We start from the raw sequence: 12,689 nt of genomic DNA on the forward strand, positions 1-12,689 counted from the left end.
CGTACTTAACAGGATTACCACCAATCTACTTGAGAGTTTCATCAAAATCGAGTGAGCTGATGAGCTGGTATGTAAGGTATACTATTCCAAAGTGCTGTACAAATATGAGAGATCTTCCCAATCCCTCAAGGCCTGCCTCAAATTCACTGAGAAGCTGCCTTTCCCCCATAACGCCAATAAACGCACTCTTCTCTAGGCCCTTCAAGATCCTCCACAGCACTTACTGTCATTTGGTAAACTAAACCTATGTGCTTAAAAATCACCATGTCATACAAAGAAAGCTTCCATACAGTTTCTTAACAGCTTTCTACCTAAAAGCCTTCTCAACACAACAAGATGGGAAGCATTACGAGAACACGACTCCTACTAAATACTGTGACACATTTCTTTGCCGTACCTCCCCTACTAAAACTGATGCCAGGGTACATATTTAATATACTTTCAAAGTCATGCCTCAATGAACCAAAACTTAATCTCCATGCACCCCTAAATTCAATGGCCAAGGTGCAACCAGATAAACCATTACTAAACAGTGCTAGACAAAGGCTGTTCACAAAAAAAAAAAAACAAAATCATACGTTGGTAAGTATAAAATTCATGTACATGTATGGTTTTATTTTTTTATTTTATTATTATTATTTTTTGAGACAGAGTCTCGTTCTGTCGCCCAAGCTGGAGAGCAGTGGCGCGATCTCGGCTCACTGCAAGCTATGCCTCCTGGGTTCATGCCATTCTCCTGCCTCAGCCTCCTGAGTAGCTGGGACTACAGGTGCCTGCTACCACACCCGGCTAATTTTTTTTTGTATTTTTAGTAGAGACGGGGTTTCACTGTGTTAGCCAGGATGGTCTCCAACTCCTGACCTCGTGATTCGCCGGTCTCAGCCTCCCAAAGTGCTGGGATTACAGGCATGAGCCACCATGCCCAGCTACATGTATGTTTTAACTGAGCAGAAATACGGCCAAGGACCTCAGAGATCAGCAATCAATCAAACTCTAGTGTATTCTGCGACTTTTAAATTCAAGATATGGCCGGGCGTGGTGGCTCACGCCTGTAATCCCAGCACTTTGGGAGGCCGAGGCGGGAGGATCACGAGGTCAGGAGGTCAAGACCATTCTGGCTAACACGGTGAAACCCCATCCCTACTAAACACACACACACACACACACACACACACACACACACACACACACATTTAGCCTGGCGTGGTGGCACGTGCCTGTAGTTCCAGCTACTCAGAAGCCTGAGGCAGAATTGCTTGAACCTGGGAGGCAGAGGTTGCAGTGAGCTGAGATGGCGCCACTGCACTCCAGCCTGGCAGAGTGAGACTCGGTCTCAAAAATAAAAATAAATAAAAATAAATAAAAATAAAAAATACATATATATTTATATATATGTATTTTTATATATATATGTATTTTTATATATATATATATCTTTTTTTCAAGATATGGTCTTCTGAGTAGCTGAACTTAAGAGTTTAGGGTTCTATAATTCCTAAAACCACCTTTCCTACTTCTCATACTTTGTCTAACTGCAATACGGAAGAGCCCACTCCTCAGCGCCCGCACACTTCCCCACTACACATACAGTAGTGCATAATGAGTGCTGTTTGAAGCTCAAAACAGGGTGAGGACTGCTTAAGAGTAATTGCCCATGGGCCTCAAAGCAATCCAATGGCACCTTGCCCAAAGTCAGCTTAGGGAGGGGAAACTCCACCAGCATTAAATTGCAAATTGATGGATCATAAAAAAATGGTGCTTATGCTGAGGGCTGGCAAACTGATCTTCTGGTTTCTTTGAACCAAGCGGGAAGCCAAGATAAAAACACAGTGGAGTGTTGGTAAGAAGTGTCTGGCAACAGATACATGGGCAAGAACATGAAAACAAAGCACACAAAGGAAATAAACAGATAACCTCTAAATCCCTTCTGACTAGAAGTTTCTGAGTCTGTGAAATGACAACCTTAAATCCCCCCCCCAAAAAAAATGTACACAGAAACCTCACCGGCAACCAAACAAAAATGTAAATTTTGTTGTAAGTAAGGTAGGTCATTCAGGAAGTTAAGGCAATTTTTAAAAAATTAACAAAATCCAATGATGAAGCATCCTCAGGGAAAGTGGAACAATCATACGTTACTGATGACATTAAATTGGTAGCGCTGTCTTGGAAGGCAACTGGGCAATGTGTTTCAAGAGCATGAAATTATTCAAACCCGTTGGTAAGGCTTCCCACAGCTAAGAATTTATCCTAAGGAAATAGTTCAAATGAAAAGCATTCCATGCATGAAGCTGTTCACTGCAGCACTAGTTTCAAAGCGAAAAGAGAAAAAAACAGGTAAAGATGTAACAGCAATTCAACACATCACAACCATCTACCGAGTTTTTGAGAAAGTTAACATTTGCCCTCCTAATAAATCAGTTGTCTAAAACTAAGAGAACAGTTAAATACGCTACACACCAACCCACAGGCATGGCAAGTAGCCATTAAAGTCATACTTTGATAATGATGCTAAAATGACCAAGACATTCACTAGATGATGCAGGAGACACGGTGTTAGTATTAGTGTGCCTGTTTTGTGTGTGTGTGTGTGTGTGTGTGTGTGTGTGTGTGTGTGTGTGTTTAAAGGGCCAGGAGCTGTGGCTCACGCCTGTAATCCCAACACTTTGCGGGGGCCGAGGTGGGTGGATCACCTGAGGTCAGGAGTTCGAGACCATCCTGGCCAACATGGTGAACCCTGTCTCTACTAAAAATACAAAAAAAATTAGCAGGGCATGGTGATGCATGCCTGTAATCCCAGCTACTTGAGGAGCTGAGGTGGTAGAATAGCTTGAACCCATGAGGCAGAGGTTGCAGTGAGCCAAGATCGCACCATTGCACTCCAGCCTGGGCAACAAAAGTGAAACTCCGTATCAAAAAAAAAAAATTAGCAAAGTGGCCAAGCACCGTAAATTGATATCCAAAATTAAGAGTAATTATGCTGAGGTGGTAGGGCTTTTAGTGACCTTTTTTTCTTCCCTCCAGTGACTTGGAATCATTGCCCTTGATTTACTGTTTAAATGTTTTTGTTGTTGTTGTTTTGAGACAGGGTCTCACCCTGTTGCCCAGGCTGGAGTGCAGTGGCATGATCTCAGCTCACTGCAACCTCTGCTTCCTGGGCTTAAGCGATTCTCATGCCTCAGCCTCCCGAGTGGCTGGGACTACAGGTGTGCACCACCACGTGCAGCTAATTTTTGCATTTTTAGTAGATGGGGTTTCACCATATTGGCAAGGCTGGTCTCGAACTCCTTACCTCAAATTATCCACACGCCTCGGCCCCCCAAAGTGCTGGGATTACAGGCACAAGCCATTGCACCTGACCAATTTACTGTTTAAATTTAATATTTCATCAGGAAGGGAGATAAGCGCCGTCAGGCTCACCACGTTTGCGATCAACAGTGGTGCTGAGACACAACAATGCTGGCAAACCTGGAACTATTTGGGTACCCAGCCCTCTTACGATCCTCAAATCACAGGTAGAAAAACAGAGGTCTAAAGGAAATGATTTGTCCAAGATCATAGAGCAAGAAGCCACATATTCCCTGTCTAGTTCTTTCTCCAGAAAGCAGAAGTTGAGAATTGGGAGATAAAACAAGAAAGAGCTGATGAACTCGGCCCTGCCTGCAAAGCAACGCAGCTGCTGAAAGGCCATACAGCCCAAACAGGGCTGCAGCAGCACAAGGACAAGTCCGCATGATCCCTCAGCCAACAAAGGGACTACAGAAAGTGCCTCTCATCTGTCAATGACAGGGTCACCGTGCCCTTGCTACCCTAGCAGAGGTATCCGCACAGAATAGACTTTTTTTTTTTTTTTTTTGAGATGGAGTCTCGCTCTGTCACCCAGGCTGGAGTGCAGTGGCGCAATCTCGGCTCACTGCAAGCTCTGCCTCCCGGGTTCACGCCATTCTCACGCCTGCCTCAGCCTCCCGAGTAGCTGGGACTACAGGCACCTGCCACCACGCCCGGCTAATTTTTGTATTTTTAGTAGAGACGGGGTTTCACCATGTCGGCAGGATGGTCTCGATCTTCTGACCTCGTGATCCGCCCACCTCAGCCTCCCAAAGTGCTGGGATTACAGGTGTGAGCCACCACACCTGGCCAGAATAGACATTTTATAAGGGACCTCAATTATAAATTGCAAACCTTAAGTAAATGAGTTGCAGCCAAACTCCACTTTAATATTCTCCTTCACAGGCAGAAAGAATGATGCATCAACCCTAACATCAGACCATCTGGCCCACCAGTAGAACAAAATCCACAAACACATCTCTAGTTCCTGAAGATGACGTCTTATTTTTATACCTAAAGAAAGTTAGGAGCCAGGCATGGTGGCTCATGCCTATAATCCCACCATTTTGGGCGGGATGGATCACTTGAGGCCAGGAGTTCGAGACCAGCCTGGGCAACACAGCAAGACACTGCCTCTACCAAAAAAAAAAAAAACTTAATTAGGGATACATGAATAAAAACTGTGTACCAAAAATGATACACACAAAACACTGCAAATAATCTTCCAATACTCTCTTTCCCTTCATAGGAAAGGAAGAGTTCTTTGCCAAGAGGCCTCCTTCAGGATATCTGCTACTCAGAGTCTTAAGATTTCTCCCATCACAGTGCCTTGCTCACCAATAGCTCATGAAAAGGTAAATTCATCTTTAAATCTAATGTGTCTGAGTAGCTTTTGTTTAAAATATAATTATGCCGATAAAATAACTAATCACATTTTGGGGAAATCCAAATTTAAAAAATGTGGGGAGGTCGGGCACAGTGGCTCACGCCTACAATCCCAGCACTTTTGCGGGGCTGAGGCAGGAGGATACCTTGAGCCCAGGAGTTTGAAACCAGCCTGGGCAACATAGGGAAACTCAATCTCTCTTTTAATTAAGAAAAAAAAAAATAAGTGAGGTACCTTTAAGTTGACCTTATAATGGTTAGTGAGGTTATCAGTGGTTCTCAAACTCCAGCGTACACGAGGATGGTCTTGTGCTTGTTAATACACAGATGACTAGGCCCACCTGCGGAGTTCCTGTTGGAGTCTAGGCCTGAGAATATTCGTTTCTAACAAGTTCCCAGGTGACCCTGAGGCTCTTGGACTGGGGAACATGCTTTGAGAAGCACTGCCATCTATTTCAGCAGCATCTACTGCTTAGCACCTGCCAGGTGCTCTGACACCCTCTCTCTAATCTTCATGTGGACACCAGGTCCCCTGGGAGAACAGACTAAAATAACTTGCCTAAGATCAGAACAAGACAGTGGAGAGGAGAGGTCAGGCCTGTCTCTCTCCAGAGCCCTGCAGCAACATGAGAGCTGCCCTCTCACACATTTTTACAAAACACTGAGGCAAGAACACAAACCGGGGGTGTAGGAACACATTTGCCTTCTGTGGAAAACCTCGCACAATATTCATTTAAGTTATTCCACCCATGGCAATGTAATCTCGCCCCTTCTTCAAGCCTGTGATTAAAACAAAACAAAGAGTACCAGATGACAGAAACCCTTTAGTGGCTCAACTAATCAGAACACAAGTCACCAATTACTGGCAGATAATAACTTTTATGTTCCATCTCCTCACTTGGCAGCTCCTGCAGCATTCTAAATCTGAGCTCTCTCCAACTGGGCCCAGATACTATCCTTTCACTCCTCATCTTTCACACTCGCAGTTCTCTGAAAACAAGGAGGGGTTAAAAGAAAGGAAGGAAAAAAAAAACCGTGCTGAAGGCTGCTTGGGCACAGATAGCAACACTAATTGCTCCCATTCTCTAGCTCCTCGTGAGGCAGATTGCAGGGGCCTGCATCTCCGGAGAAAGCTCTCCTATCTTCGCAGCAGCTCTCAGCAGAGCAACTCAAGTGCCCTTAATTGTTTATGTTCTTAATGCAGAGGCTCTTGAATGCATTCATTTTTAATAGCGGGCTTGAGTGTGGGGCCCATCAAAGAATGACAAAGCAACTCTATTCATTGGTTCTCCTTCCTGCAATGATGGTCTTTTGATTTATTTGCAAATGACAAGCTTGCCAGGCCCCACTTGAGGGCTGCCCTCATTTTTTTTTTTTTAAAGAATTCAGTTGCATTTTCCAAGATGAAGTTGAGTCTGCAATGCTGTTTGTGTAAATTTTTCCCCCTTCAGTTCCGTCTAATTAATGACTTAAATGTTTTGACCCAACTGTTGCCAAGCAGAGCATTTGGGCTTTAATTTGTCATTTTGGTAAAGATGCATCTTTGACAAAAGCATCACAGCTGTTTTAGTTCCTAAATAGCACATTTCCATTATTCAGAAACCCTTGTTATGGAGTTCAGAAAGAGCCTGTTCACAGGAAATGGTATTGACTTGTCCCAGGATGGAAAAAGGACAGCTTTTGGTGGGCTTAAAGGAAAATGCACTCTGTGGTGGAGAAAGAAATCTTTCTCCAAACTCCGCAGAGTGAATCACAGATCATCACCGTGAAGTCATCACCTACTCTCCTGTGGAAAGCAAGCAAGCCTCTCCCTGGGCCACACCCCAAGCAAGCCTATACCTTTAAACCTCTTCACATATCTTAGTCATTAGAGAGCTCATAAGAAATTAGGTAATACCACACAATGGCAGGATTAGTGGGAGGAAAAGTAGACTACATCATCATCATCACTGGTTGAAGGTTAAAATTACAATTATGAAACTAAAATATGCCTGTGTAGCCAGGCGCGGTGGCTCACACCTGTAATCCCAGCATTCTGGGAGGCCGAGGCAGGCGGATTATGAGGTCAGGAGTTCAAGACCAGCCTGACTAACATGACGAAACGCAGTCTCTACTAAAAATACAAAAATTAGCCAGGCGTGGTGGTGCACGCCTGTAATCCCAGCTACTCAGGGGGCTGAGGCAGGAGAATCGCTTGAACCCGGGAAGCGGAGGTTGCAATGAGCCAAGATCATGCCACTGCACTCCAGCCTGGGTGACAGAGCAAGACTCGTCTCACAAAATAAATAAATAAATAAATAAATAAATAAATAAAATAAAATATGCCTGTGTAAATAAAGACAAAGGCCTGAAGCACTGGCTCACATCTATCAGCACTTTTGAGAGCAAGGTAAGAGGATCACCGCAGAGCAGGAGTTCAAGACCAGCCTGGGCAACATAGTGAGACCTCATTTCTACAGAAAAAATTTAAAAATTAGCCGGGTGTGGTGGTGTGGCCTATAGTCCCAGCTACTGGGGATGCTTAGGCAAAGGATCACTTGTTCGGAGTAATCCTTGGTTTGGAGTTTGGAGTTTTGATTAAGCCACTGCACTCCAGCCTGGGCAACAGAGTGAGATAAAAATATGTAAAAATCAGCCGGGCACGGTGGCTCACACCTACAATTCCAGCATTTCGGGAGGCCGAGGCAGGTGGATCACTTTAGGTCAGGAGTTTGAGACCAGCCTGGCCAACATGGCTAGAAATACAAAAATTAGCTGGGTGTAGTGGTGCACACCTGTAATCCAGCTACTCAGAAGGCTGAGGTACAAGAATCGCTTAAACCCGGGTGGCAGAAGTTGCAGTGAGCCGAGAGATCACTCCAGCCTGGGAGACAGAGACAGACTGTCTCAAAAAAAAAAAAAAAAAAAAGAAGCAAAAATCAAGTTACCTCTGAATGTTTCCCTAACACATTTAAATCTTCAGCCAATCTAGATGGTAGAAAAGGAACTTTCTGCACATGGGCCATGCTACAGCTGAATGACCCACATACATGAGTAACAGCTGCCACTCTCCTTCCTGAGCAACTTCTTAGGGAAAACAGCTCTCTACAAGGAGATCTAGGCCCCCAGTGCCACATAATGGCTCCAATTTTGATATATGTATCAAAGCCATTCCTGGCCCCTCAAACTCAGTGCTGAAACTTCAGCGGGGAAGTCCCAGCCCTTGAGCTGTATTCCTGCTCCCCCCCAAGCTGAGTGGCTGGGGAGAGGTGGTCCTTTGGGAAGGAAGATAAGGTTGCTGCCTTCCCGGATGGAACCTGGAATTATGTTTTTAATCAATATCACATGCCAAAAAACCTGCAATGTTCCGCAACTCACTCTCAAAGTAGCCAGAAGGATACTCAGACCCGGGCGTGATGGCTCACACCTGTAACCCCAGCATTTTGGGAGGCTGAGGAGGGTGGATTGCCTGAGGCCAAGAGTTCGAGATCAGCCTGGCCAACATGGTGAAACCCTGTCTCTATTAAAATTACAAAAATTAGCCGGGCGTGGTGGCACATGCCTATAATCCCAGCTACATCAGGAGGCTGAGGCATAAGAATTGCTTGAACCCAGGAGACGGAGGTCGCGATGAGCCGAGATCGCGCCACTGCACTCCAGCAGCCTGGGCGACAGAACAAGACTGCATCTCGAAAAAAAAAAAAAGAAGGATATGTAAAGGAAGTTGGAAGTTGTGGTGGGCAAGGGTAGGGATTAAAATTTGGAGCCACTGAGGCAGAAAAAGAACCTGTGAACAGTTAACAGTCAAGAAGTTTTATTTTCTCAAAAGCATTTTAGTCACGATTAAAATGAAATCTGGGATGCTAGCTAAATTTTTCAAAGCATAACCTTTGGAAAAGATTATTTTAAGTATTTAGAAGAGAGTAAGCAAAAGGATCCTAGATGACAGGTGCCATGGTGTATGGATTCACAGAATATTGACTCACCCATGCATGTGGAGGCAAACAGGAATAACATTTTAAATACAAATTACTTCTTTACCAAAAAAAACCCCAATCACTGCATCATTATACAATCCACAGAGGAATCTAAGTAAGAGAAAAATAATCACCATTCCTCCAAGATAACAATCAACCTACTTTCAGGATGGGAAAAAAAGTGTCGTATGGGACAGAATCTATTCAGAGTTACAGGGACTGACCAAAAATACACATAATTAAAAGTATGCCAAAAAAAAGGCCTTCATCCCTTTATGCTCAGTCATGTCAATTTATAATTTTAAAATTATAAAGCCTTACAGTATTGTCTAAGATATACTAGGGAAGCATTAAATAAGGAGAGAGGAACTGAAGATAATGGAAACAAGAACAATTTATAAACCAGGGGCCACCAGAAGTTACCACTCCTGTAATTCACAAGTTATTTTACAAGTGGACAAATCAATTTATATGCTCCTGTGTGTTTTTAGAAAACATCCTAGATAGTCTTCCATTAATTATGTGGGTTCCAGGACATGTCAATTCTCGTTTCCCACAGCACCAGAAACCAAATTTAACCCACGTATTCTGTTACACTGGTCTGCATTTGTGTGGTTCCCACAGGGCTGGGTTGGCTCAATAATGCTGCACTCCTTCTGGAAGAACAGAAAAGACTTCCTGCCATTTGGACTGTGAAACACAGTAATCCACCAGGGAATAAAGGTCAATGTTGCACTTTTGGTCATTACTGAATCATTTGAGATGATCTGTGGTGAGGATGAGAGGAAAATCGAAGGCTGTGAGAACGCTGCAAATGGCTTGACCTCAGACCAATTTTCATCTCCATCTGTCTAATAGACATGTGGATAAAAAGCCCTCCCTCCTTCTGGGCCACTCGGCTGTTTTCAAATCCGTGGCACAAGCCAGGAACCAGTTAAACAATATATTAATGAGGGGAAATAACCTTCTAAGCCACAGACTAATGCTTATTCAGGTTTTAGATCATCAGCTGAAGTCTGGAACGCAATTTTCCAGTCTGCAAGCAGTACTGTAAAGTAGAAATTTTAACTAATACAGAGAATCATCTGCAGTGTAGGGGCATGTGCCAAAATCTCCTCACTTGTACATGCAAATATATGCATGCTTACACCTCCACCCTCCCCCCCCACACCAAAAGACATGCACACAAAGAGGAAGGGCAGTTCCAAAAACTGCGCATTGCTGCTAAATAAATCTTTTTTTCCCCAAGTGTCCAATTAAAGCTGCTTAATCATTATTTAGGCATTTCAATCCTTAGATACAAAATATTCTTGGGAACCCAGAGTCTAATCATCATTTAAGCCATAGAATAAATAAATGTTAATAACCCTGACTTTATACCAACGGTCCCCCTTTGCTGGTTTGGCCGAGCGACTTTTTAAAGATAATGTTGTACCACATATAAGTTTAGGCCCCCACAGTATATCAATGTCAAACAACATCGTGTCAAGCTAAGATTCAATTCAGGTAAGTGCCACTGCCAAATTTTCTTGTTCCCAGACGGGCTTTAAGATTATTTTATTGCTTAAAATTTAATTTGTTCCAACTCGTGTCTCCATGACAACGTTGGCCAACCCTGCAAATCATTTGGGTAATTGGATATCTTATCTTTCTATTGCTCTCAAATCGAATGATTCTGCTAGAATTGTAACAGCCAATCAAATTTACAGTCCTCCTGAGTAATAGACTTGGAAAAGTAGCCACATTCATCTCCTCTTTACAGCCATATTAACCAGTATGCGACAAACAGTAGAATCTGGTCTTCAAACTCTACTCCAAATTATAAATGGTGTCAATACCAATATTCTCACAATGCAAAGTCTACACAAAAGTCCCTTCCCTTTTTTTTTTGAGACAGAGTCTGGGTCTGTCGCCCAGGCTGGAGTGCAGTGGGGCAATCTTGGCTCACTGCAACCTCCGCCTCCCGGGCTCAAGTGATTCTTCTGCCTCAGCCTCCCTAGTAGCTGGGACTACAGGCGTGCGCCACTGTGCCCAGCTTATTTTTGTATTTTTAGTAGAGACGGGGTTTCACCATATTGGCCAGACTGGTCTCGAACTCCTGACCCTCCTGACACCTTGTGATCTGCCCACCTCAGCCTCCCAAAGTGCTGGGATTGCAGGCATGGCCACCTTTTATATTGCTTTGAGAAGCAACAATTGTTACTTATTCCTTATTAACTTTGAGCAATTTCAGCACTTTGAGAGTTCCAGAAGCTAATCAGAAAAAAAAAAATTAAAAAAAAAAAATCACAGCTTTTTTTGGGTATTTGATCTTGGATAAAATAATAACCCAAACAATGGCTGCATAAGATCAGTGATACACTGACATTGATCTGTCTGGGACCCTTTCGGTAGGTAAGCCATACTTAATAAATTAGTCAAGAAATAAGGATGGGCTGGGTGCCGTGGCTCATGCTGTTAATCCCAGCACTTTGGGAGGCCGAGGCAGATGGATCACCTGAGGTCAGGAGTTCGAGACCAGCCTGACCAACATGGCAAAACCCCATCTCTACTAAAAATCCAAAATTAGCTAGGCATGGTGGTGAGCACCTGTAATCCCAGCTACTTGGGAGGCTGAGACAGGAGAATAGCTTGAACCTGGGAGGCAATGACTGCGGTGAACTGAGATCACGCCACTGCACTGCAGCCTGGGCAACAGAGTGAGACTCTGTCTCAAAACAAAAAAGAAACAAGGATGAATACAGATTTAACAACCAGTTCAAAACTAATGTATTCTTAGGCTGGGTATGGTAGCAAATGCCTGTAATCCCAGCACTTTGGAAGGCTGAAGCGGGCGGATTGCTTGAGCCCTGGAGTTCAAGACCAGCCTGGGCAACATGGCGAAACCCTGTCTCTATTTAAGAAAAATGAAGGCCGGGCATGGTGGCTCATACCTGTAATCCTAGCACTTTGGGAGGCCAAGGTGGGCGGATCACAAGGTCAGGAGTTCAAGACCAGCCTGACCAACATGGTGAAACCCCACCTCTACTAAAAATACAAAAATTAGCAGGGCGTGGTGGCATGTGCCTGTAATCCCAGCTACTCGAGAGGCCAAGGCAGGAGAATCGCTTGAACCCGGGAGGCGAAGCTTGCAGTGAGCCAAGATTGCGCCACTACACTCCAACCTGGGCGACAGAGTGAGACTCCGTCTCAAAAAAAAAAAAGAAAAAAAATCTATATACTCAGAAAAATCCAGTCAGTATTTGAAACCTCCTTATACTTCCTCCTTATACTTCCATTTAATTCATAAATATCATAGCATCTAGGGTAGTCGATTATAAAATACAGATTTCTTATAAGATTCAAATGTCAGCAGTTCCCCTCCTAAGTTAGTGGTATGATTTTGGCCTTTGGTCAGCTAAAAAGTACAGAAGTTGGATACATTTCAATGGTCCAATTCCAATCTCCTCAGTAGCTGTGCAGAGACATTGGCTCTGAGGGAGCTCATGGCCCAAGCACTGTAAATGAGCCAGCCCACTTACAAATGGAAAAAGTTCTGGGACCCAGGCCAACTGGCAGGCTAGGGGGTTGTCAAGAACCTAGTGCTTCCCCTACAGATCCTCAGGGTGTCAGGGCCACTTCTCAAGCTAAGCAGAAAGAGCCATGAACGCGGAGCTTCTCAGCACACCCAGATCAGAAGGCGGCCAACTTTGGAGCTTGTTTGAGAGCAGGTACTGGCACAACTTGTCTGAACTGTGCCCTGCTTTATCTCAAATACTTACAAAGACACACAAGAAGTTTCTACTGCATTGTGCTTGGGATTAAGAGTAAACAGCCTAAACTTCCAGTTTGACCAATCCCAATGGCTCTGCCTTTCTCCCCTGCAATAAATTATTATTATTATTATTATTATTATTTGAGATGGAGTTTCACTCTTTTTGCCCAGGCTGGAGTGTGATGGTGCGATCTTGGCTCACTGCAACCTCCGCCTCCCAGGTTCAAGTGATTGTCCCGCCTCAGCCTCCCAACAATTTTTTTTTTTTT

General features: G+C 44.0%; 1 protein-coding gene across 22 annotated transcripts in view, besides 1 other annotated feature; it reads right to left on the reverse strand.

The window, feature by feature from the left end:
• The window catches only part of TLE1 (TLE family member 1, transcriptional corepressor), a 105,865-nt gene that overhangs the window by 76,105 nt on the left and 17,071 nt on the right, over positions 1-12,689 (reverse strand). The gene's annotated exons all lie outside the window — the stretch shown is intronic.
• Positions 3,329-3,830: an enhancer, noted in NCBI's record as "H3K4me1 hESC enhancer chr9:84278031-84278532 (GRCh37/hg19 assembly coordinates)". NCBI's record gives its function as "activates a minimal SCP1, AML or CMV promoter by ChIP-STARR-seq in naive H9 embryonic stem cells {active_cell/tissue: H9 hESC(naive)}" and the evidence as "EXISTENCE:reporter gene assay evidence [ECO:0000049][PMID:30033119]".

Source organism: Homo sapiens, chromosome 9, assembly GCF_000001405.40.
Source record: "Homo sapiens chromosome 9, GRCh38.p14 Primary Assembly".
In the NCBI taxonomy this organism is placed as follows: domain Eukaryota; kingdom Metazoa; phylum Chordata; class Mammalia; order Primates; family Hominidae; genus Homo; species Homo sapiens.